This window comes from Homo sapiens, chromosome 11 (genome assembly GCF_000001405.40).
Source record: "Homo sapiens chromosome 11, GRCh38.p14 Primary Assembly".
NCBI lineage: Eukaryota > Metazoa > Chordata > Mammalia > Primates > Hominidae > Homo > Homo sapiens.
In genome coordinates, this window is record NC_000011.10 from 71,838,961 (window position 1) to 71,863,954 (window position 24,994).

Genomic DNA, 24,994 nt, shown 5'->3' on the forward strand with positions numbered 1-24,994 from the left:
CAGGAGTTAGAATGTGGATAGCTTTGGTGGGAGACAGAGGGGACATTATTCTACCTACTACAGCCACTGAGTGCTTTTGCCACCTGTCACCATTTTGCTCCATTTAGACACAACTTTAGTTGCTTTGTGTGAAGAGATTCTCATTCATAGAGTTTTCATTTTTGTGTAAAGTAGTGGGGGGCCTCCCCTTGGTTATTGAAAGAGTATAGAATCAAGATATTTAAAAGTATATTAGCTGGATTTTATTTTTCACCATGCCTGATTTGGCCAAGAAAGAATGTTAAGTTATGTCACGTGGGCTACTTGAAATCTCAAAAAGTTCAAAACATTGGGTTCAAAATCTCAGAGACTGAGATATATTCCAACCAACTCGGCCCTGTGGAAGTGCCAAGTTTTCCTCAGTGCCACTCTTGAAACTACATCACCAACTGACCCTTTAATATATTTTTGCACTATATAACATTTATTTCTTAGAGTAAGTTCTTCCCTAGAAAAGAAGCAGTTTGGACACGTATATTAAGGCCGTCACATAGAATATTATCCTCTCATTGCTAGGAGGTGGCCTTCAAGATGGCTGACTAGAGGTACCAGGCACTGTGCCCTCCCAAAGAAAGACCAAACCAGCAAGTAGATAATCATACCTTGAAGAGGGCATAAAAGAGGGCACTAGAATTCAGCAGCAAAGTGACAAGGAATCTCTGAGGTATGGAAGGAAAGGAAAATGAAGCAGCAGCCCAGCCAGAATCAGCTTAAAGCCAGGACAGGCTCTCCAGTGTGGTGAAAAGGTAAAAAAGAGAGCCCCAGTGGTCCATATTCCCACTGTGGACACTGCAATCCTAGCCAAGGGACAGTCTCTCAGCCCTCGCAGGCCCTGAGACTACTATAGGGAGCTGCCTGGAATCTATGTGATGGTCATTGTCCCAGAGAAGGAGTTGGCACTGGATCATCTGCACCCACCCCCAGACACAGGCAGCTGTGGCACAGTGCCATTTTGAGAGCCCAGCCCCCAACAGACTACATCTTGCCCTGGGGCCCAACATCCCCTGCATCTCCACATCTCTGGACCCTCAGTGACATTCCCTCTTGTCCATCCAGAGGCCTGCAGAGTCACAATACCAGCTGAACTCACCAGTGTAGGCTGGTCCCCATCACTCTAGCCTACAAAGTGTCCTGCACTCCAGGGAACTGGCAGTGCCATTCACTAGGGAGGCTGCCCCCAGAACAAAGGGAGCTGAAGCAGGCACTCTTCACAAGTGGAGTGTCACCTTCCCAGGGCCACTGACACTGACAGCTATCCTGACCCCCAGGAGCAGGGCCACTGCACACCTGCAGGCATCCTCAGGGGATCTGGGGACTCGCCTGCCTGGGCACTATTCCAGGGCCAGAACACATGCCCATCCCACCCATTGCTGTCACTACCACTACCCAAGCTCGTTGTCCAGGAGGCTGGGGATCAACCCACACTGCTCTCTGTCATTGGCACCTGTGCATGCCTTCTTGTGACCTGAGTATGAGCCCACCCAGCCTGGTGGTGCCTGTGCACATTGTCTGGGAGCCTGGGGATTAATCCACTATGCCTATCACCATCAAGTGCCTGTGTGTCTCCTGAGAGCCTAAGGATAGGACTTCCTAGCCTGCCATCACCGCTGCCACCAGTGCCAACATATTTGCACCAGGTGAAAGCCTGAGGACTACTCTGTCCATCATGTTGCCATGACTGTTGGTGTCTGCACATGCCATCTGGGGTCCCAAGAGTTCACCTGCTATGACTACTGCAATTGCTGATGCTACACATGCCTCCCAGGGTCTTGAGGGCATGCCTATCTACCTAGCTCACCACTGTCACTGCTGGCACTTGAGAAAGCCACCTGACTCACGCCTGTAATCCTAGCACTTTGGAAAGCTGAGGGGGGCAGATCACCCGAGGTCGGGAGTTCGAGACCAGCCTGACCAACATGGAGAAACTCCATCTCTACTAAAAAAAAAAAAAAAAAAACACTACAAAATTAGCCGAGCGTGGAGGCCCATGCCTGTAGTCCCAGCTACTCAGGAGGCTGAGGCAGAAGAATTGCTTGAACCCGGGAGGCAGAGGTTGCAGTGAGCTGAGATCACGCCACTGCACTCCAGCCTGGGCAACAAGAGCAAAACTCCTTCTCAAAAACAAACAAACAAACAAAAAAAGCCACCTGAAGGCCCAAGGATGGCCTGCCTGAAACTTCAACCACTAGTGCCCACGTAAATCACCCACAAGTTCAAAGACCAATGCAACTGGTGCCCAAGGACCAAACTGCCTGGCCTGTCTTTCCCCAGCAAAATCTCACCACAGCCTCCATCAACAATGAAGGCTAAGACACTGAGGAGCTCACAGACATCAGTGATGCTGATTATAGCTGAAGAAATCATAGAAGTCTAAACTACTGAACCAACCCAGAACTAAAGGCAAAGTGTCTTACTGATTCAACAGTATAGATACAGCTACAGAAGTCAGTCGTTTACTACCAAAGCCAATCTATAAAATTAGAAGAAGCAACTGTTTTACCAGATATTCAAATATCAATGTAAGGACATAAGAAACATTAAAGAGCAAGGAAATATAGCATCTCTGAAGGAAAAACAATAATTCTCCAGCAACAGATTTCAACCAAACAAATCCATAAAATCAGTGAAAAGGAATTTAACAGCTGAAATTGAATAATTCAATAAATAAAATAATACAATTTGAGAACCTCAACAATAGACTAGATTAAGAAGATGAAAGAATTTCTAAACATAAAGATCGGTCTTCATATACAGGATTAAATGGATTAAAGACTTAAATGTGAAACACAAAACTATAAGAACCCTGGAAGACAACCTAGGCAATACCATTCAGGACATAGGCATGGGCGAAGATTTTATAACAATGACACCAAAAGCAATTGTGAAAAAAGCAAAAAATTGACGAATGGGATGTAATTAAACTAAAGAGCTTCTGGGCAGCAAAAAAAAACTATTAACAGAGTAAAAAGACAACCTGCAGAATGGGAGAAAATTTTTGCAAGCTATGCATTCGACAAAGGTCCAATATACAGCATCCACAAGGAACTTAAACAAATTTACAAAAAAAAAAAAAAAACCTTTAAAAAGTAGGCAAAGACATGAACAGACACTTCTCAAAAGAAGACATACATGCTGCCAACAATCATATGAAAAAAAAGCTCAAGGGTCATGAGGGATTATGACAGACAGGAGGCAGAACTAGATTGCAGCTCTGGACAGAGCAGCATGCGGAGGCTTGCATTGTGAGTTTTAGCTCCAGATGGACTGCAAGAACAGACTAGCAATCCTCACAGGACCCACAGACCCCCCGAAGGAAGCAGACTGCTCTTGCAGGACCTGGGAGACACCCCAAATACTTTTAAGTCCCCTAACCACGGAAATGGGAAAGGGAGACCCTCATCTCCTGAACACACACCCCCACTGGAGAAGCTGAAAGTCTGTTTGTGGGAGAAGTTCCTGACTTCACCTGGAGCTGAGTCAAGTTAGAGAGCTGAGCTGAGAGACATACAGGAGTAGAGGAAGTAGCAGAAAGGCACTGGAAGGCCGCTGGATCCCCAAGTAACCCATTCTTGCCTGGCACCACAGGCATCCATCAGGAGGGTGGCCAGAGGAGCAGGGGGTAAAACTTCACAGGGAGAAGGACTTCTCTAGCTGAACTTTATAAAAAATTGAATGCGGCGAGAAGCCTCCTGGCCAGAACTCAGGGGAGGGTGTGAATCCGGCTTGCAGACTTCACAGGCAGGGTAATAACTGAAGCGCATTTCTTTGTCAGTCGGGAGGCAGAAAGCCTCAGGTAAGTTTTCAAGCCAGATTTGCCTTCGGCCTGGAAACAGACTCCGAGCTATCGCAAGGGGCATTGTGGGAGTGAGACCAGCCTTTCAGTGTGCATGGAAGCTAGCTTTCCCCCACTTCCCTGACAACCTGCATGACTCAGCAGAGTCAGCCATAATCCTTCTAGGTACACAACTCCAGTGACCTGGGAATCTCACCTCCATCCCCTACAGCAGCCAAAGCAAGACCTCCCCAAGGAGAGTCTGAGCTCAGGCACGCCTAGCCCTGCCCCCACCTGATGGTCCTTCCATATCCACCCTGGTAGCAGAAGACAAAGAACATATGATCTTTGGAGTTCTGGAGCCCTGCCCACCACTGGTCTCTCTCCACAGTGTCCGGAATTGGTGGGTTCTTGGTCTCGCTGAGTTTAAGAATGAAGCCGCAGACCCTCCTGGTGAGTGTTAACAGTTCTTAAAGATTGTGTGTCCAGAGTTGCTCATTCCTCCCAGTGGGTTCATGGTCTGGCTGGCCTCAGAAGTGAAGCTGCAGACCTTCGCAGTGAGTGTTACAGCTCTTAAAGGCGGCGTGGACCCAAAGAGTGAGCAGCAGCAAGCTATACTGCAAAAAGCGAAAGAACAAAGTTCCCACATCATGGAAGGGGACCCAACCCTGTTGAGCTGTGGGCTCCGGTGGCCTGCTTTTATTCCCTTGTCTGGCCCCACCCACATCCTGCTGATTGGTCCATTTTACAGAGAGCTGATTGGCCCATTTTGACAGAGTGCTGACTAGTGCATTTACAAACCTTTAGCTAGACACAGAGTGCTGATTGGTGCATTTACAATCCTTTAGCTGGACACAAAAGTTCTTCAAGTCCCCCACCAGATTAGCTAGACACAAAGTGCTGATTGGTGCGTTTACAAACTTTTAGCTAGACACAGAGTGCTGATTGGTGCATTTACAGTCCTTTAGCTAGGCAGAAAAGTTCTCCAAGTCCCCAGCCAGCCCAGAAGCCCAGCTGGCTTCACCTCTTGATGGCACTTGCCAGACAGGACTTTGCAGCACCCAGCCCTGGCACTCCAGCTGCCTAGAGAGAGCTCATCTCCCAGTCAAGCCCAGCAGGCACCGGCCAGCCGCCCCAAGTGTGGGGCCTGCTGAGCCCGCACCCACCCCGAACCTGCACCAGCCCACAAGGGCCACACACAGCCCCGGCTCCCACCAGGGCCTCTCCCTCCACACCCTGCGAGCAGAGGGAGCCAGCTCCGGCCTTGACCAGCCCCAGAGAGGGGCCCTCACAGTGCAGCGGCAGGCTGAGTGGCTCCTGGAGTGCAACCAGAGTGGACGCCGAGGCCAAGGAGGCGCTGAGAGCCAGCGAGGACTGCTAGCATGTTGTCATCTCTCAACACTACTACAGCGGATGCTTTCTGGAAAGCGCCACCTCCCAGCAGGAGGCCCATCAGCACAAAAATAGAGCCGTAAACCACCAAAATGGTGGAGGCAGTTTGAAAAACAGGTTGGCAGTTCTTAAAGAATTAAAAATAGAGTTACCATATAACCCAGCAATTCCACTCTTAGGTATATACTTAAGAAAATAGTTTGTACCTAAGAGTTGAAAAATTCTCAGTGAATGCTCATAGCAGCATTATTCATAATAGCAAAAAAGCTGAAATAACCCAAATACCCATCAGCTGATAAATATATAAACACAATGTGTTATATTTATATAATACAGTATTATTTATTGATAGAAGGAATGAAATAGCTATATATCCTACAACTTGGATGACCTTGAAAAATTATGCTAAGTTATGGAAGGCAGACACAAATGGGTATATAATTTATAATTCCAGTTATGTAATGTCCAGAATAGTCAAATCTATAGGGATAGAAAACAAATTAGTAGTTTCTGGGGATTAGAGAAGGAGTTTCTTTTTGGGGTGATGGAAAGGTTTTGGAATTAAATAGCGGTGATGGCTGCACAACATTGTAAATATACTAACATCTATTAAATTAAACAAATCAAAATGGTTGAAATAGTGAATATTTTGTTATGTGAACATTATCTTAATACAAATTGTTTTGATAAATGTAATGTTTTGGAGTGTCCCTTTTTATTTGTTTTCTTAGAAGAGGTTGGATATAATTAAAATTTTTTAAATTTCTGAAATGTTGTTGAAAATATAAGTTAAGTGCCTTCTTTTTTAGGAGGTTATTGATTACAGAATTAGTTGCTTTATTGATTACAGAATTATTTGCTTTATTAATTCAGGAAAACATTCTTATTTTCTGTTTCACCTTGAGTTAATTTTGTCAAGTTTCTTTAATGGTTTTGCATATTTAAAGATGCTTCCTTTTTTCCTGTTATTTTTATTTGTGCATTTTATTTTCTTTGTAATTCATACTGCAAAGACTGAGATGTTTCTGTTTTCTATTATTATTTTCTTCTGAGATCAGATGAGATCAGGAGTGTTCATGATGGTATTGCCAAAGACTCACCATTATTATTTTCTAGTATCAGCATTTATGACTCTGAATTTCCTCTTTAATATTGTACCAATGGAATCCAAAAGTTTTAATAAGTAATATTTTAATTTCAATATATTTTATTCACTAAGATTTTTTTCTTTAATCAACTGGGTTTTAGAACCCTTTTTTTATAATTTCATATCAGTGTGACACTCTACTTTCTGTAGAGTGTCAGTTATTTGACTTTTGTTAAGATTTGGCATGTAGAACAAATCGTTATATGGTCAATATTTGTGCATATTCAATATGTCCTATTAAAATTGTATTCTGTAGTTGTTGAAGTTCTTTGTAATTATTCACTTCATAAAAATAGTAAATTTTTATTAACATCCAATGTATTATTAATGTTTAAAGTCGTCTTTTTCTTTGAATGGCTAAGAAAAATAAGTTATAATCTCCCTCTATAGTTCGGAATTTTTTCATTTTTCCTTGTAGGTTGCTCAATTTTTGTTTAATAAATTTGATGCTATGTTATTTAAGTGCACATATTTTGATGTATATATTTTCCTGGTACCACACTGTTTTGGTGACTATGATTTTATAGTACAGTTTGAAATCAGGTAGTGTGATGCCTCCAGATTTGTTCTTTTTGCTTAGTCTTGCTTTGGATATGTGGGCTCTTTTTTGGTTCCATATGAATTTTAGAATTGTTTTTTCTAACTCTGAAGAATGATGGTGGTGTTTTGATGACCACCATCAAGTAGTACAAGTAGGTTCTTGTACTACTTTTTTTTTATTTTTTCATTTTGCTTTAAGTTCTGGGATACAAGTGCAAAACGTGTAGGTTTGTTGCAAGGTTTACCTGTGCCCTGGTGGTTTGCTGCTCCTACCAACCCCTCATTTAGGTTTTAAGCTCCACATGCATGAGCTATTTATCCTAATGCTCTCCCTCCCCTCCTCCCCATCCCCTGACTGGCTCTGGTGTGTGTTATTCCCCTTCCTGTGTCCATGTGTTCTCATTGTTCAACTCCCACTTATGAGTGAGAACATGTGGTGTTAGTTTTTCTGTTCCGGTGTTAGTTTTTCTGTTCCTGTGTTAGTTTGCTGAGGATGATGGCTTCCAGCTTCATCCATGTCCCTGCAAATGACATGGTGTCATTCCTTTTTATGGCTGCATAGTATTCCATGGTGTATATTTACCACATTTTCTTTACCAGTCTATCACTGATAGGCATTTGTGTTGGTTACATGTCTTTGCTATTGTAAATAGTGCTGTAATAGACATACATGTGCTTGTGTCTTTACAGTAGAATGACTTATGATTCCTTTGGGTATATGCCCAGTAATGGGATTGCTGGGACAAATGGTATTTCTGGTTCTAGATCCTTGAAGAATCGCCACACTGTCTTCTACAATGGTTGATCTGATTTACATTCCCACCAACAGTGTAAAAGCATTCCTATTTCTCCAGAGCATCACCAGCATCTATTGCTTCTTGACTTTTTAATAATCACCATTCTGACTGGCATGACATAGTATCTCATTGTGGTTTTGATTTGCATTTCTTTAATAATCAGTGATGTTGATGTTCATATTCTTTGCCCACTTTTTAATGGCGTTGTTTTTTCTTGTAAATTTGTTTAAGCTCCTTGTAGATTCTGGATATTAGACCTTTGTCAGATGGGTGGATTGCAAAAATGTGCTCCCATTCTGTAGGTTTCCTGTTCACTCTGATGATAGTTTCTTTTGCTGTGCAGAAGCTCTTTAGCTTAATTAGATCCCATTTGTCAATTTTGACTTTTGTTGCAAATGCTTTTGGCATTTTCGTCATGAAGTCTTTGCCCATGCCTATGTCCTGAATGGTATCGCCTAGGTTTTCTCCTAGAATTTTTATGGTTTTGGGTTTTACATTTAAGTCTTTAATCCATCTCTTGAGTTAAATTTTGTATGAGATGTAAGGAAGGGGTCCAGTTTTAATTTTCTGAATATGGCTAGCCAGTTTTCCCATCACCATTTATTAAACAGGGAATCACATCGTCTGCAAACAGAGACAATATGACTTCCTCTCTTCCTATTTGAATACTTTTATTTCTTTCTCTTGCCCGATTGCCCTGGCCAGAAATTCCAATACTATGTTGAATAGGAGCGGTGAGAGAGGACATCCTTGTCTTGTGCTGGTTTTCCATCTCTGGTAGAATTCAGCTCTGAATCAGTCTGGTCCTGGACTTTTATTGGGTGTTAGACTCTTAATTCCTGTCTCAATTTCACAGCTTCTTATTGGTCTATTCAGGGATTCACCTTCTTCCTGGTTTAGTCTTGAGAGGGTGTATATGTCCAGGAATTTATCCATTTCTTCTAGGTTTTCTAGTTTATTTGCATAGAGATATTTATAGTATTCTGTAGTGATAGTTTGTATTTCTATAGGGTCAGTGGTGATATCCCCTTTATCATTTTTATTGTGTTTATTTGATTCTCCTCTCTTTTCTTCTTTATTAGTCTAGCTAGTGCTCTATTTTGTTAATTTCTTCAAGAAATCAATTTGTGGATTAATTGATTTCTTGAAGTGTTTTTTATATCTCTATCTCCTTCAGTTCTGCTCTGATCTTAGTTATTTCTTGCCTTCTGCTAGCTTTTGGATTTGTTTGCTGTTGCTTCTCTAGCTCTTCTAATTGTGATGTTAGGGTGTCATTTTTGAAATCTTTCTAGCTTTCTGATGTGGGCATTTAGTGCTATAAATTTCCCTCTTAACACTGCTTTAGCTGTGTCCTAGAGATTCTGGTACGTTGTCTTTGTTCTCATTGGTTTCAAATAACTTCTTGATTTCTGCCTTAATTTCATTATTTACGCAGGAGTCATTCAGGAGCAGGTTGTTCAATTTCCATGTAGTTGTGTGGTTTTGAGTGAGTTTCTTCATCCTGAGTTCTAATTTGATTGCACTGTGGTCTGAGAGACCGTTTGTTATATTTTCAGTTCTTTTGCATTTTCTGACTAGTGTTTTACTTCCAAATATGCAGTCGATTTTAGAATATGTGTCATGCGGCACTGATTAGAATATATATTATGTTGATTTGGGGTGGAGAGTTCTGTAGTTGTCTATTAAGTCCACTTGATCCAGAGCTGAGTTCAAGTCCTGCATATCTTTGTAAATTTTCTGTCTTGTTGATCTAATATTGACAGTGGGGTGTTAAAGTCTCCCATTATTATTTTGCAGGAGTCTAAGCCTCTTTGTAGGTGTCTAAGAATTTGTTTTATGAATCTAGGTGCTCCTGTATTGGGTGCATATACATTTAGGATAGTTAGCTCTTCTTGTTGAATTGATCCCTTTATCATTATGTAATGCTCTTCTTTGTCTTTTTTTATCTTTGTTGGTTTAAACTCTGTTTTGTCAGACACTAGGATTGCAACCCCTGTTTTTTTTTGCTGGGATTACAGGCATCGGCCACCATGCCCAGCTAATTTTCTATTTTTGGTACACACGGGATTTCTCCATGTTGGTCAGGCTGCTCTCGAACTCCTGACCTCAGGTGATCCACCCGCCTCGGCCTCCCAAAGTGCTGGGATTACAGGTGAGCAACTGGGCCCAACCTAAATCACATCTCATCTTTATACACTGTATGATCACCAACATAGGTTTATATTTATTGCTTTATGCATTGACTTTCTTTTTACTGTATTTAAGATATACAATATTATGTTTGTGTATATATACATATACATATATACTTAGGGCAATGATTGCCATAATCAAGCAAATTAACATATCCATCATCTCACATAGTTACTTTTTTGTGGTAAAAATATCTAAAATCTACTCTGGGCAAATTTCTGGAGTATGATACATTATTAACTACAGCTCTTGTGTTGTACATGAGATCTCTAGGCATATTTATTTTATATAGCTGAAACTTGTACCCTTTGGCTTTCATCTTCCATCTTCCACACGCCTCCCGCCTCTTTCTAACCTTTCTATTTCTTAGGGCTTTTGTGGGGCTTTTTTGTTTAGGGTCTACTTATAAATGAGATAGTGCAGTATTTTTCTTTCTGTGCCTGATTTATTATTAGCATAATGTCTTCTAGGTTCATCCATGTTGATGCAAATGAAAGAAACTTCTTTACAAAACTGAGTGATATTTTATTATGTATATAATTCCTTTATCCATCTGTTCATAAACACTTAGGTTTTTTCAATAGCTTGGGTATTGTGAGTAATGCTGCAATGTGATGTGCAGTTGTTTTTAAATCAGAAGAAAAGAGGACATTGCTTATATATACTAAAGTTACCTTTATTAAAGATACACACACGCACACACCAGCATTTTTACTCCTTTATGTGTTTGAAATTACTATATAATGTTCTTTCATTTCAGCCCAAATAACTCCTCATAGAATTTTTTATCATCCTACTGCATTCTTAAAAGAGGTCAGCTGTAAATTTACTGTGAATCACTAATAACTGATCTTCCCTTATCTGCAATTTTACTTTCCATGGCTTCAGTTACCTATGGTCAACTTTCACCTGAAAATATTAAATGGAAAATTTCAGAAATAAACAATTTTCAATTGCATGCCATTCGAGTAGCATGATGAAATCTCATGCTATCTGGCTTCATCCCACTTGGGATGTGAACCATTCCTTTGTCCAGAATATTCATCCTGTATATGCTACTGACCCATTAGTCAATTAGCACCTGTCCTGGTTATCAGATTGACTGTCACACTATCACAGTCCTGTATTCAAGTAACCCTAATTTTACTTAATAATGGCCCCAAAATGCAAGAGTACTCCCCCTAATTTATATATTAAAATTATCAAATTTTAATCTTTGATTAAATGTTATTGTAAGTATTAAAAAATATAATATGTGTATGATTCAATACTATCCATGGTTTCAGGCGTTCACTAGGAGTTTTGAAATGTATCCCTCATGGATAAAAAGGAACTACTATAAATGATAAGTCTCTTCTCTCCTACTGTTTTCAAGATTTACTCTTTGGCTTTGGATTTGAGCCATTTGGTTATGATATGTCTTCGGGTGGTCTCTTTGAGTTTATCCATCTAGAGTACATTGAGCTTATTGTACATGTAGATTAAATTTTTCATAAAATTTGGTAAGTATTAGACAATTATATCTTCAAATATATTTTCTGTACCTTTCTCTCTCTCTTTTCTTTTTGGAACTTCCATTATGCATATGTTGATATCTTGATGGTGTTCCACAGGTCTATTAGGCTCCATTTATTATTCTTCATTCTTTTCTCTAACTGAGATTTTCTCTAACTGGATAACCTCAATTGAACTATTTTCATGTTCACTAATTTTTTGTACCTCCTCAAATCTGCTGTTTAGCCCTCTAGAGCATTTTTCATTTCCATTATTTTATCTTTCAACTCCAGAATTTCTATTTGATTTCTTTTTAAAAGAACATTATAAAATAAATAATATTTTTTTAAAAAACATTTTTGATAGTCTGTATTTTGTGAGATATCATTCTCATGTTTTTTTTAAAAAAAATTGTCTCTTATTGATATTCTCTATTTTTGTGAGATATCATTCTCATGTTTCTCTTTAGTTCCTTAGATGTCATTTCCTTTAGCTCTTTGAACATATCTAAAATAGTTGATTTAAAGTCTGTTTCTATTAAGGCCAATGTCTGGATCTCCTCAGGGGTAGTTTTTATTAACTGCATTTTTTCTTTTCCATGTGCCATACTTTCTTCAGTTTTTTCTTTTTGTATGTCTCATACTTTTTTTGAATACCAGACATTTTAAACATGATAATGTGGCCACTCTAGAAACAAGATTCTCCCTCCTCCCCACGTTGTACTCCTCGTTGTAGTTATTTGTTTGTTTAGTATCTTTTCTGAATAAACTTTGTGGTCTCTATTTTTTGTCACCTATGTCGATTAAAATATTTTTTCCATTAGCTTAGAAGTCAGCTAATAATTTGACAAAGATTTCCATATGTGTTTGGAACTTGCAGAGGGGCTTTGTGTATGTGTTGGGCCCTGCTTTCAACACTCAGGCAGACAGTTTACAACTCTGCCTTGGCCTACACTTTCTGCTTGTGCAGGGAAGGTAGAAATTTCCCAGGTTTTTACTGAACATGCACACAGCCTTGACATACACAGTTTGCAAATTCTCAGAAATATGTTGAAGCTTTTCAAAGCCCATATTCCCCAAAGCATCTCATTCCCAGTACTTTCTCTCAAGATTTTTGTTTAGTCTATTGTTTTCCCCAGTGTTCAGGCAGCAGTATTTATAATGTCTTTCTGTAAATGTTTTCTAACACCACCCCATACCAAGTAGCAGCTTTCCCACTGCGTGAGGTCCAGATTAGGTGAAAAAACAAGGCTTTTGAGAATATGTTTGAAGGAGTCAACAGGCAGATCAATTTTTCATGAATGAGGTCCATTCTGTTTTTCTGGCATTGGTATTAAGAATCTGGGCATTATTTTCAAGCCTGCTGCTTCTCTGAGAAGAATGGAAACAGGGTAAGTTAAAAACCACAAATCGATGTTCTTACTGAGATGGGATATTTTGCTAGAATTAGCACTCCCTACATTGCTAAAAACCTTATGTTAGTTTTCAGAGTTCTAAAAAGCTTTATTTTGACAGTTGTTGCCAGTTTTTTAGTATATTTTATAAAGAGATAAAATTTTGAATATTTTTATTTCATTTTTGCTGATGTCACTACACCACAACCTTTTTATTATACTATTTGTACCATATAATTTATTCATTATACTATTATTATTACTTATTAGTCACAACAATTCCCAATATTAAAAATGGAGGACATTAAAATTCTGGCAATTTTAGTCAAGAGCATAATGGATTGAACCATGTAAAATTGATATTTTTGAAACTGAAAAAAAATTATAGCTACAGTGGCACATTGTATTTTTCAAAAATGCATTTCCAAAAGTTGTAGTTTTCTAAAAATATGCATTCCATCCCACAAGAACTTTTTATAATGTAACATTGATAATCCTCCACTGAGAGGTGAAGTCTATGTTCCCTCTGCTTGATCTGAGGCAAACCTTTGTAACTGCCTTAACTAATAAATACAGTGCAGACGATGCTTTCTGACTTCTCAGGCTACATAATAAAAGGTTATATGACTTCTGTTTGTATCTCCCTCTCCAGAACGACTAGTTGAAAGACTGGAAATCTTAGCCAGAGCAATCAGGTAAGAGAAAGAAATAAAAGGCATCCAACTAGAAAGAGAGGAAGTCAAACTATCTCTCTTCACAGATGATATAACTCTATAATGAGAAAATTCCATAGTCTCTGCCCAAAGGCCATAGACCTGATAATCAGTAAAGTTTTGGGATGCAAAATCAATGTATAAAAAATTAATATCATTTCTATACACCAAGCTGTGAGCCACACCAAGAACAAAATCCCATTCATAACAGCTGGAAGAAAAAATAAAAATACCTAGGAATACAGCTAACCAGGATGATGAAAGATCTCTAAGTGAGAATTATAAAGCAATGCTGAAAGAAATCATGGACGACACAAACAAATGAAAAAACATTCTATGCTCATGGATAGGAAGAATCAATATTCTTAAAATGGCCATACTGCTCAAAGCAATTTACAGATTCAGTGCTATTCCTATCAAACTATCAATGACATGTTTACAGAGTTAGAAAAACTATTTTAAAATTCATATGAGACCAAAAAAAAAAGAGTCTGATGAGTGAAAGTAATCCTAAGCAAAAAAGAACAACACTGGAGGCATCACACTACCTGACTTCAAACTATATGACAAAGCTGCAGAAACCAAAACAACATGGGACTGGTACAAAAGCAGACACATGGACCATCGGAACAGAATCTCTATTCCAGAGATAAAGATTGCTGTAACACAGAAATAAAGCTGCACACCTATAACCATCTGCTCTTTGACAAAGTTGACAAAAATAAACAATGGGGAAAAGACTCCCTGTTCAATAAATGGTGCTGAGATAGCTGGCTAGCCATATGAAGAAGGATGAAACTGAATGCCTACCTTTCACCATATACAAAAAACTAACTCAAGATGGATTAAAGATTTCAATGTAAGACCTCAAACTATAAGAATTCTAGAAGAAAATCTAGGAAACATCATGTTCGACATTGGCCTTGGGAAATAATGCATGACTAAGTCCTCAAAAGCAACTGCAACAAAAACAAAAATTGACAAGTGCAGCCGAATTAAACTAAAGAGCTTCTGCAGAGAAAAAAAAAAAACTATTAACAGAGTAAACAGCAAACTACAGAATGGGAGAAAATATTTGCAAACCATGCATCTGACAAAAGTCTAATATCCAGAATCTCTAAGGAATTTAAGTCAACAAGCAAAAATTAAAACCTTTATTTAAAAATTTGGAAAACATGGACACTTCTCAAAAGCAGACATACAGAGAGACACCCAATATATTTTTAAAAATGCCCAATATCACTAATAACTAGAGAAATGCAAATCAAAACCACAATAAGATCCCCTCTCACACCAGTCAGAATAGATACTATTAAGTCAAAAAATAACAGACCCTGGTGAGGCTTTGGAGAAAAGGGAATGCTTATACACTGCTAGTGGAAATAGAAATTAGTTCAGCTATAGTGGAAAGTAGCCTGAAGATTTCTCAAAACACTTAAAATAGAAGCACTATTTGACACAGCAATCCCATTACTTAGTATATATCTAAAGGAATATCAATTATTCCACCATAAAGATACATGCATGTGTATGTTCATTGCAGCATTACTCACAATAGTAAAGACATGGAATCAACCTAGATGCCCATCAACAGTGGTCTAGATAAAGAAAATGTGGCATATATGCGCCATGGAATACTATGCAGCCATGAAAAAGAAAAAATCATGTCCTTTGCAGCAGCATGGATGCAGCTGGAGGCCATTATTCTAACCAAATTAACACAGAAACAGAAAGCCAAATACCATATATTCTTACTTAAAAGTGGAAGCTATTGGGAGGCTGAGGCAGGCAGATCACGAGGTCAGGAGATTGAGACCATCCTAGCTAACATGGTGAAACCCTGTCTCTACTAAAAATACAAAAAATTAGTGGTGCGTGGTGGCACACAGCTGTAGTCCCAGCTACTCAGGAGGCTGAGGCAGGAGAATCGCTTGGACCTAGGAGGCGGAGGTTGCAGTGAGCCGAGATCATGCCGCTGCCCTCCAGCCTGGGCAACAGAGCAAGATTCTGCCTCAAAAAAAAAAAAAAAAAGTGGAAGCTAAACACTGAATACACATGGACACAAAGAAGAGAACAACAGACACTAAGGCCTACCTGGGGGTGGAGGGTGGGAGGAGGGTGAGGATTGAAAATCTACCTATTGAGTAATATGCTGAATATCTGGGAAAGTTATCTGTATACTAAACCCCCAGGACACACAATTTATCCATGTAACAAACCTGCGCATGAACCACTTGAATTAGTTACATAAACAAGAATGAGGGCATAAAAAAAAAAAGACTTTACTTAGCACCTTTGTCAAAATCACTGAGCATGGATAAATATATATGATCTTACCCATATACAGACCATTCATATGATGGTCTTATCCTTGCCTCTCTATTATGTTCTGTTGAACTATGTCTCTCCTTATTCCAGTATCACAGTGTCTTCATTATTGTAGCTTTGTCTTGAAACAAGGTAGTCTAAATTCTCTGGCTTTGTTATACTTTTCAAAAAATATTTTGAATATTAGTCTTTTGGAACATTTATGCAAACCTAAAATTATTAAGGCATAAATTATTAATGAAGAAATAAATTAGCAAATGTTCATAAATACATCAGCTAACATGAAAGTGATCAAAAGTAGTCAAATAAAAGCTATATAAACGTTATATTATATATGTATATAGAATTTTTCAAAAAAGACTGACACGATATATGAAAGTTTACAAATTTAAAAAAATATCAATTCAGGGAAATATGCCAATAAGAAATTGAACAGAAGGTAAATTTGTTTTGGGTAAGTTGGATTTTGGTCAATTGATTCTTGATTAAAGGCATGCTCTTAAGCTTTCAATATCTTGTTGCTATGTGGTGGGTTAGGGTGAAAGGTTAGGGGAATCTCTTTAAGGTATAGGCTCAGAGTCTTTTGACAGGAGCTGCGCACTTTACTCTGTCTTTTATCTTTCAACTCTCCTGATCTTACTTGTCTTGTTGTATGAGATAATTATACAAAGGATCCATAACGATGAAAAAATATTTGTTTTCAATATGAATTAAATGTATCCACCTTTCAGATGTGATTAAGAACACCTCAGGGCCGGCCGCAGTGGCTCAGGCCTTGTAATCCCAGCACTTTGGGAGGCTGAGGCGGGCAGATCACGAGGTCAGGAGATGGAGACCATCCTGGCTAACACGGTGAAACCCCGTCTCTACTAAAAATACAAAAAATTAGCCAAGCGTGGTGGTGGGCCCCTGTAGTCCCAGCTACTGGGGAGGCTGAGGTAGGAGAATGGCGTGAACCTGGGAGGCGGAGCTTGCAGTGAGCCGAGATCGCGCCACCGCACTCCAGCCTGCAGCCTGGGCGACAGAGCGAGACTCCATCTCAAAAAAAAAAAACAAAAAATAGCTTGTCATAAATGGACCTTAGACAATACTCTTGTCCCTCTTGCAAAAAAAAAAAAAAAAAAAAAAAAAAAAAAAAAAAAACAGTGTATTATGGAAATGTTTCCTTACAAGCCCTAGGACTTTTGCAATAAGGATGTTCTGTACCCACATGGCTTTACTTCTTGGCCCCATTCAAAAAAGAAAATTAACTAAAGGTATTAATTAACCTCTGGTGAAATTGAGAGCCATAGAAAAAGGAAAGGGTTAGCCATCTGGTTTCCTACAATTAGGTTAATTTGTCACCAAATTTAGAGAACTTCGAGTTTGGAAATATTCCAACGGAAGCTGTTTTATTTCCTTTCTGTTAAGTTTCACTGAACAAGAGGAACCTCAGGCCCCCAGAATTAAATAAAAGCCCCTGTGTTCCACCAGCCCTGATCACTCACCTCTCTATTGGGCACTCAACCATGAAACTCCATTCCCTTATTTCTGTTCTCCTCCTCTTTGTGACTTTAATACCAAAAGGTAAGATGGTGAATGATTGTAGAAGTCTATTGGGATGCCTAGACCGGAGGAGGTCTACTGAGATAATTATACTGTGGCCATCCTAACTCAGACACCAATTCACAGCCTTAGGAATTCAGAAATTCAACATGTTTATCTTCTTTGGTACTAATGAGGCCACAATTGAGAAGCAGGACAAGGAGTTCTTTCAACAGAAAATGGGGGTTCAAGAGCTCGATAATTAGAAAATGGGGCCGAAATAGAGTTAGGGGTATAGAAGCTTTGATATGTGATTTAAAGGTTAGTAAATAAAGCAAACAGCTATCATCAAGGCTTCACTCTCCAAAAAGGAGAGTGAAGATGATAGTTCTTGGTTCAAACTCGGTAGTGAATGGAAGTGATGTAGAGTCTATTGGTGAGGAATATTTGTGAAGGGTAGCAGTTAGGCAAATAAGACAGAGTTCAACAAGAAAATTTTGCATCTAATTATAAAAGACCAGTAGAAATTTGGGAGCAAGGGAATTTGGAAAAGAATAAACAGTGGCATGAAGCTTTAATGGCAAAATTTTAAGCATAAGACAAACAGTACAGAAAACACTTCAAGACTCGTAGTTGCATCCTTAGGGTCCATGATTCAGAAGTTTAAATATCAAAATGTAGAATCAAACTGAAAAGGGAATAAAGAATCAAACATCTTCAGGGTGTTTCATTCAGATCCTGATAAGATATGATAAAATTATTATCTCCACTGTTAATAGTGGGATGTTCATATCCCCCAAAATAAAGTGTGTGGTCAATGAGCAAAGATCTCTTCCTCCCTTTATCTCTGAGATTATTTTTTAAATAATTTCAACTTATATTGTAGATTCAGGGGGTACATGTGCAGGTTTGTTATGTTGGTATATTTTGTGATGTGAGGTTTGGGGCATGATGGTAATCCCATCACTCAGGTAGTGAGCATAGTACCAAATAGTTTTTCAATCCTTGTTTTCCTCCCTCCCCACTCTAGTAGTCTCCAGTGTCCCATCTTTATGTCCATGAGTATCCAATGTTTAGCTCCCACTTATAAGTGAGAACATGCAGTATTTGGTTTTCTATTTCTGCATTAATTTGCAGTCCTCCAGATCATCCATGTTGCTACAAAGGATATGATTTTGTTCTTTTTTATGGCTTCATAGTATTCCATGGTCTATATGTACCACATTTTCTTTATCCAGTCCACCATTGATGAGCACCTGGGTTGATTCTTTGTCTTTACTATTGTGAGTAGTTCTGTGATGAACATAGGAGTGCAGGTATGTTTTGGGTAGAATTATTTGTTTTCTTTTGGACGATATACCCAGTAATGGAATTGCTGGGTGGAATGGTAGCTCTGTTTTAAGTTCTTTGAGAAATCTTCAGACTGCTTTCCACAGTGGCTGAAATAATTTATATTCCCACCAACAGTGTATAAGCACTCCTTTTCTCCACAGCCTCATCTTCATTTCTGCTATTTTTTGACTTTTTAATAATAGCCATTCTCACTGGTGTAAGATAGTTCTCATTGTGGTTTTGATTTGTATTTCTCTAGTGATTAGTGATGTTGAGCTATTTTTCATGTTTGCTGGCTGCTTCTATGTCTTCTTTTGAGAAGAGTCTGTTCATGTTTTTCATGTCTTTTCCCCCACTTTATTTGTTTTTTGCTTGTTGATTTAAATTCCCTGTAGATTCCGGATATTAAATTTTTGTCAGATGCATAGTTAGCAAATATTTTCTCCCATTCTGTTGTTTTCTGTTTACCCTGTTAATAGTTTCTTTTTCTCTGCAGAAGCTCTTTAGTTTAATTCGGCTCTACTTGTCAACTTTTGTTTTTGTTGCAATTGCTTTTGAGTACTTAGTCATAAATTATTCCCCAAGGCCAATATCTAGAATGGTGTTTCTTAGGTTTTCTTCTAGGAGTCTTATAGTTTGAGGTCTTACATTTAAATATTTAATCCATCATGAGTTAATTTTTTGTATATGGTGAAAGATAGGCATCCAGTTTTATTCTTCTGCTTATGGCTGGCCAGCTATCCCAGCACAATTTATTGAACAGGGAGTCCTTTTCTTGTTGCTTATTTTTGTCAACTGTGTCAAAGAGCAGATGGTTATAAATGTGCAGCTTTATTTCTGGGTTCTCTATTCTGTTCCAGTGGTTCATGTGTCTGCTTTTGTACCAGTCCCATGCCGCTTTAGTTACTGTAGCCTTATAGTATAATTTGAAGTCAAGTAGGATGATGCCTCCAGTGTTGTTCCTTTTGCTTAGGATTATTTTGGTTGTCTGAGTTCTTTTATGGTTTCGTATGAATTTTAGAATAGTTTTTTCTATTCTGTGAAAAATGTCATTGGTAGTTTTATAGGAATAGCACTGAATCTATAAATTGCTTTGTGCAGTATGGCCATTTTCACAATATTCATTCTTCCAATCCACAGCAGGGAATATTTTTCTATTTGTGCCATCTGTGATTTCTTTCAGTAGTGATTTGTAGTGTCATTTGTAGAGATCTTTCACCTCCTTGGTTAAATGTATTCATGGGTATTTAATTTTTTGTGTGGCTATTGTAAATGGGATTGCATTCTTGACTTGGCTCTCGGGTTGAATATTATTGGTATATAGAAAGGCTACTGATCTTGTACATTGATTTTGCATCCTGAATCTTTACTAAAGTTGTCTATCAGGTCCAGGAGGCTTTGAAAGAATCTTTAGGGTTTCTTAAGTGTAGAATAATATCATCTACAAAAAGAGGTAATTTGATTTCTTCTTTTCCTATTTGGATGCCTTTTACTTCAAAAGGCTGATTGCTCTGGCTCATATTTCCAGTACTATGTTGAGTAGGATGGTGAGAGAGGGCACTCTTGTTTTGTTCCAGTTCTGAGATTCTTTTAAGTGAAATCAAAGCTACTCAATTGTTTGATCTTTACCTAATCTGTGGACATGTTGAGATTCACCTCACATATGATTGTCTCCTTCTGAAGGAGCTTATGCAATTCTCATTTGGTTCTCAGCTTTAGTCAGAAGATACAATTAAGGTCAGATACACTTGTAGTGACATCTGATGTGAAATTATGTGATGGTAATAATTTCAAATTAAAATAAAATTTAGTGGCAGTTGTTTTTATTTTAGATAATAAAACCCATGTACAGATAAAGAATGTGATTTTACTCAGATCACATAGGTAGTAGCAACATTGCAGCTAAAAGCAAATCTCTTTAATCTGGGTCAATGTTGTTTTTAATCAATCCATAGGTGTAGATATGCATACAAAAATGATAACTCTGATTTCTGTCAGACTTTTTTCTCAAAATCTTCTAGTTATATATTGAGGAAACTAAGGAGGTTTTCTGCTATATGTGACAACTTGGATGAACCTGGAGGACATTATGCTAAATGACGTAAGCCAGTCACAGAAGACAAATACTGCATGATTGCACTTATATGAGGTACCTAAAATAGTCAAACTCATGGAAACAAGTAGCAGAATAGTGGTTTCCAGGGACTGGGGAGGGAGGAGGAAATAGGGAGTTGCTATTTAATGAGTAAAAGTTTTCAGTTTTATTAGATGAATAAGCTCTAAATATCAACTGTACAATACTATATCTATAACACTTAAAAAGTTCTTAAGAAGGTAGATCTCACTTTAAGTGTTATTACCACAATAAAATAAACGATGAAGAACAAGAGGTTATTTGAGGTTGAAAGCTGAGTTAATCTCCCCACAGATACGAGAAGAATCCTTCAGAGGCCTGCCTTTCAAGCCGTGACATCTTCCTGGAGGAATAGAAATATCAGCCCTTCTTTGTTCCTTCCAAATCAGTTATACCAGGAAGAAGCATTAAATGAAGGTCCTATAATTCTGCACAGGAGGGAATCACTTTTGAATAGCCAGGTTTCTTGTGATCAGAGGATATTAAAACCATACGTAAAGGTCAAAATGCCTTACTTGTGCATATTGAGATGTTCTTGGACACATTATGAAGTGGGACTCAGAACACTCAGGTCGAAAAATAGGATTTTCATTATCAGTTTTGTATGGTCTCTTAGTACTAAATAGTTAATTGCTGAGCTGTCTATACAATTTAATAATACTGCACTCCAAAAATTCTGATCTTAATCTCTGCTGTGACTGCCGGGCATGTAGAATTTATCAGGTGTCTAGAAGCATTCTGATAATCTTAGAAATTTTATAACTCCTATGTAACTTTTATCTCATAAAATTTCTTTTAAGAAAAATTGAGTGGCTAGATCATGAAGAGTTTTGTTAAAGACATTTTTACCCCCAAAAAATCCAATTAAGTAAAAAAAATTATTGTTTTCATGAAAAAATGTCTCCAAAGTAATTACGTAGTCTGAAATATTAGTTTATCAGCTTAATGTCTGATGAATATTTAGTTATAGTTACTTGAATATATTTTTTATATATCCTTATATTTATTCAAAAAAGAATCCATGGTATCCTATAAAAATTGGAATAGTTCATATAGATTTATATGTATACACAAACATACATATAAATGCTGCGAATATGAGTCTAAAGAGGTTAGAATGGCATAAATCTTGGATTGCTGCATTAGCTCTCTGAGAATTAAGAAAATTATAGCATTCTTCTTACACTGACTGTGAAGAATAACATAATATCTAAATACATGACATTGGACAGGAGCAGAAGACAGCTTGAACTCACATTATGTAGAGAAAAGGAAACTGCGCTTCTATTTTTTGACTGATAAAGTTCCAGGAAGAGCCTGTTCCATTTAAATCCTCTACATCACCCAAAAAAAAACTTTAAAGTTACTGACTCAATGAGTTCTAATGCTAAGAAAGTTATATCCTTTTAGAAAGTAGATGAATGCGCTATTAAGGGTCTTTTCCAGTGTGATTCTAAGTCCTTCTCACTGCATCCACGGAAATTAATGTTGTGATATAATATGAAGTGAACATCTAAATTGTTTCTTTTTCCAAAGGCACTTATTAAATATGCATCCTTTCCTCAACTGCCATGTGATATAACCATTATAACATATTAATGTCAAATAAACTCTAAAGTGTATTAGAGAGTGCCTCTCTTCTTTTGCTCTATATGTATATACTTCTGTCAATAAGTCTGAAAATAAATGTGAATATCTGGGAAGAAATTTTCTTCCTCATGAATGAGGAATATGAATCTGAATATGAATTAAGTAATTTAATCTTATCTTTTTGACTTAAACTAGTGCCCTTGGCATGATGATATGTCACAGTCATCGGTAAAAAGGGAGATTATAACTCTTTGGCTTCATGCTCAAAGCATACCTCTTTAAATTAAGCTTCCCATGTAGCAAGAAGCACATCACTGGTAGGATGAATTGTTCCACTCCTTTTGAGTGAAGCAAGGGACAGCTCCCAAATAGAGGAATTGGCACTATCTTAGGCTACATGCTGTGTCAGTAGGCTGAACTCTACAGTATAGTGGGTTACGCATCCTACTGAGAGGAAGTTCACTCTTTTGGCTTCAGCTGAAGATTCACATTCCACCTCATTTTGCATGGGATGCCTCTAAGTTCACATGCATAGGCCTCCTTGATGCCATACTCTGCCTCTTACTATATCTTTCCCAGTACTAATAACCCCCGATTTTAGCTTCATTTAAAAAGTCTGACAATGTTGCCAGATGTTAAATGTATGGATGAAGTTATCAGGGAAAAGACCAACAGCTAGCAACAGGTCTGCTATGCTTCTCAGCATGAAGCCTGTGTTCTGTGTAGACAATGCAGTTGAACCAGCGCCTTCCACAACTGGCTGGGGAGACTTCAGGTCTCTCTCTGAAAGGCAGCCACTTTCTCTTCCACAATAGTCTTGGAAAAAAGAGAGAATATTACAAGATATTACCCAACTCCCCCATCATGATATTCTCTTGGTGCACAGAAACCCTGAGTTTATAAACTGCTAGTCTGATAGTAGAGTATAATACCAGACTGCACTAGGTTGAAGCTTCTAACAAGAGTGGAAGACAATCTTGCATAGGTTATGAGCACTCAGTTCCAAAAGGCTGCATTGGTTTTTCTGGCTATGGATTTATTTCTACAGAATAGAGAAACAATAATGATAGCCTAGTTTAAATACAAAACAATAACAAAAAACAACAAAAAGATTGAGAGCTGAAAAGGCCACCAAACAGTTACTCATCTACAGAAGCAAAGAAGCCAGAGGTAGTATATTAGAGGACAGTAAAAACAAAATAAGATCCAGGTGTGTTAACAGGATGGTTCAGGAACTAATGTCTGTTAATGAACATCAGCAAAAGTGTTTTTCTTATGTAACATCTGCAGTGATATACAGTAGGAAAAATAAACTATGGTTGTGCTGAGAAGGCAAGAGAAAGGATAGTAAGCATAGAGAAAACTACTGAATTAGACCACACCCTTAGCCATATGCTTCTCAACAACCAGATGAATTAAGAGAACATGTGGATACACTTAAGGGAAAATACCTTTTAGCTCTGTGAGTAATTCTCTCCAGGTGTCTGTCTGTCTATCTATCTATCTATCTATCTATCTATCTATCTATCTATCCATTCCTCCATCTATCTATGAGGTATTGAGCAACATAGGAAAGGTATTTCTTGCATAGTCCTGAAATGAGGAAATTAGTTTAGATAAAATCTAAAGGATTGATAGGCTTTCTATGAAAGGAGATGAAGATATGAACATGAACCATTTGATAGGGATGATGTATGCACAGATGGGAATTTGGAGGGACACATACTTCCTTTGAAACTGTTTCTTAGTGGTGGCATTGTTGGTGTTTGGTGCAAGACAATTCCTTAGGTGAAAAATTTAGCAATGCTGTGCTATCTGCTAAATACCAAAGACACCTTCCCTAGGCATGGTGGCAAGAACAAATGGTCCCACACATTTCAAAATGTACTGCACTAGGGGAGGACAGTCCCTTTAAAGAATTTTAGAAATTGGCTTATTTCCTCCAGGGTGTATATAATCTACAATCTTAGCTCCCTTCCCATAAAAAGGCACTATTTCTGTCTACGAGTCTGATCCTTTCATATAGACAATGTTTTCTTTCCTCTCCCAAAGCCATTCTTCTGGGGGTTTATTGTTTTATGTATATTTTCAATAGTGAATTAATGATGTTCTTAAATCTCTTCCTGTGTAGGAAAGACTGGCGTTATTCCAGGACAAAAACAGTGTATTGCTTTGAAAGGGGTGTGCAGAGACAAACTATGCAGCACACTAGATGATACCATTGGTATATGTAATGAAGGAAAAAAATGTAGAAGGTGGTGGATACTTGAGCCCTATCCAACTCCGGTTCCCAAAGGAAAATCTCCTTAGGTGGGAGCAAACGTTAAGTCCTTTGAACTCCAGAATGGATGGATAAATTTTGCACTCCTGTTTAACCCAATTTCTTATTCTTCCTTGACTGGAAATAAATGTTGTCCTAATCCCACGTGTACTGACTGCCTCCTGGAGCATTTCTTCTTGATGCACATGCAAGCCTCTTAAGAACTATAAGAATAAAATAAATAACAGAAGAATCGCATACCCTATAGGTACTTATAAAAAATATGTTTCTAAGAAAAAAAGATAAAAATGTTAAATATGTAGAACAATAAGAATATGAAGTATCA

The 24,994-nt window shown here is 38.1% G+C and overlaps 1 long non-coding RNA gene and 2 pseudogenes across 3 annotated transcripts in view, besides 1 other annotated feature; 1 reads left to right on the forward strand and 2 right to left on the reverse strand.

The window, feature by feature from the left end:
* The window catches only part of XNDC1N-ZNF705EP-ALG1L9P (XNDC1N-ZNF705EP-ALG1L9P readthrough), a 123,614-nt gene that overhangs the window by 33,980 nt on the left and 64,640 nt on the right, over positions 1 to 24,994 (reverse strand). The gene's annotated exons all lie outside the window — the stretch shown is intronic.
* RNA5SP342 (RNA, 5S ribosomal pseudogene 342) lies at positions 6,236 to 6,285 on the reverse strand (annotated as a pseudogene).
* DEFB130C (defensin beta 130C (pseudogene)) lies at positions 17,317 to 24,698 on the forward strand (annotated as a pseudogene).
* Positions 22,690 to 22,890: a silencer, noted in NCBI's record as "peak1338 fragment used in MPRA reporter construct". NCBI's record gives its function as "represses an SCP1 promoter by STARR-seq MPRAs in K562 erythroleukemia cells {active_cell/tissue: K562}" and the evidence as "EXISTENCE:reporter gene assay evidence [ECO:0000049][PMID:32103011]".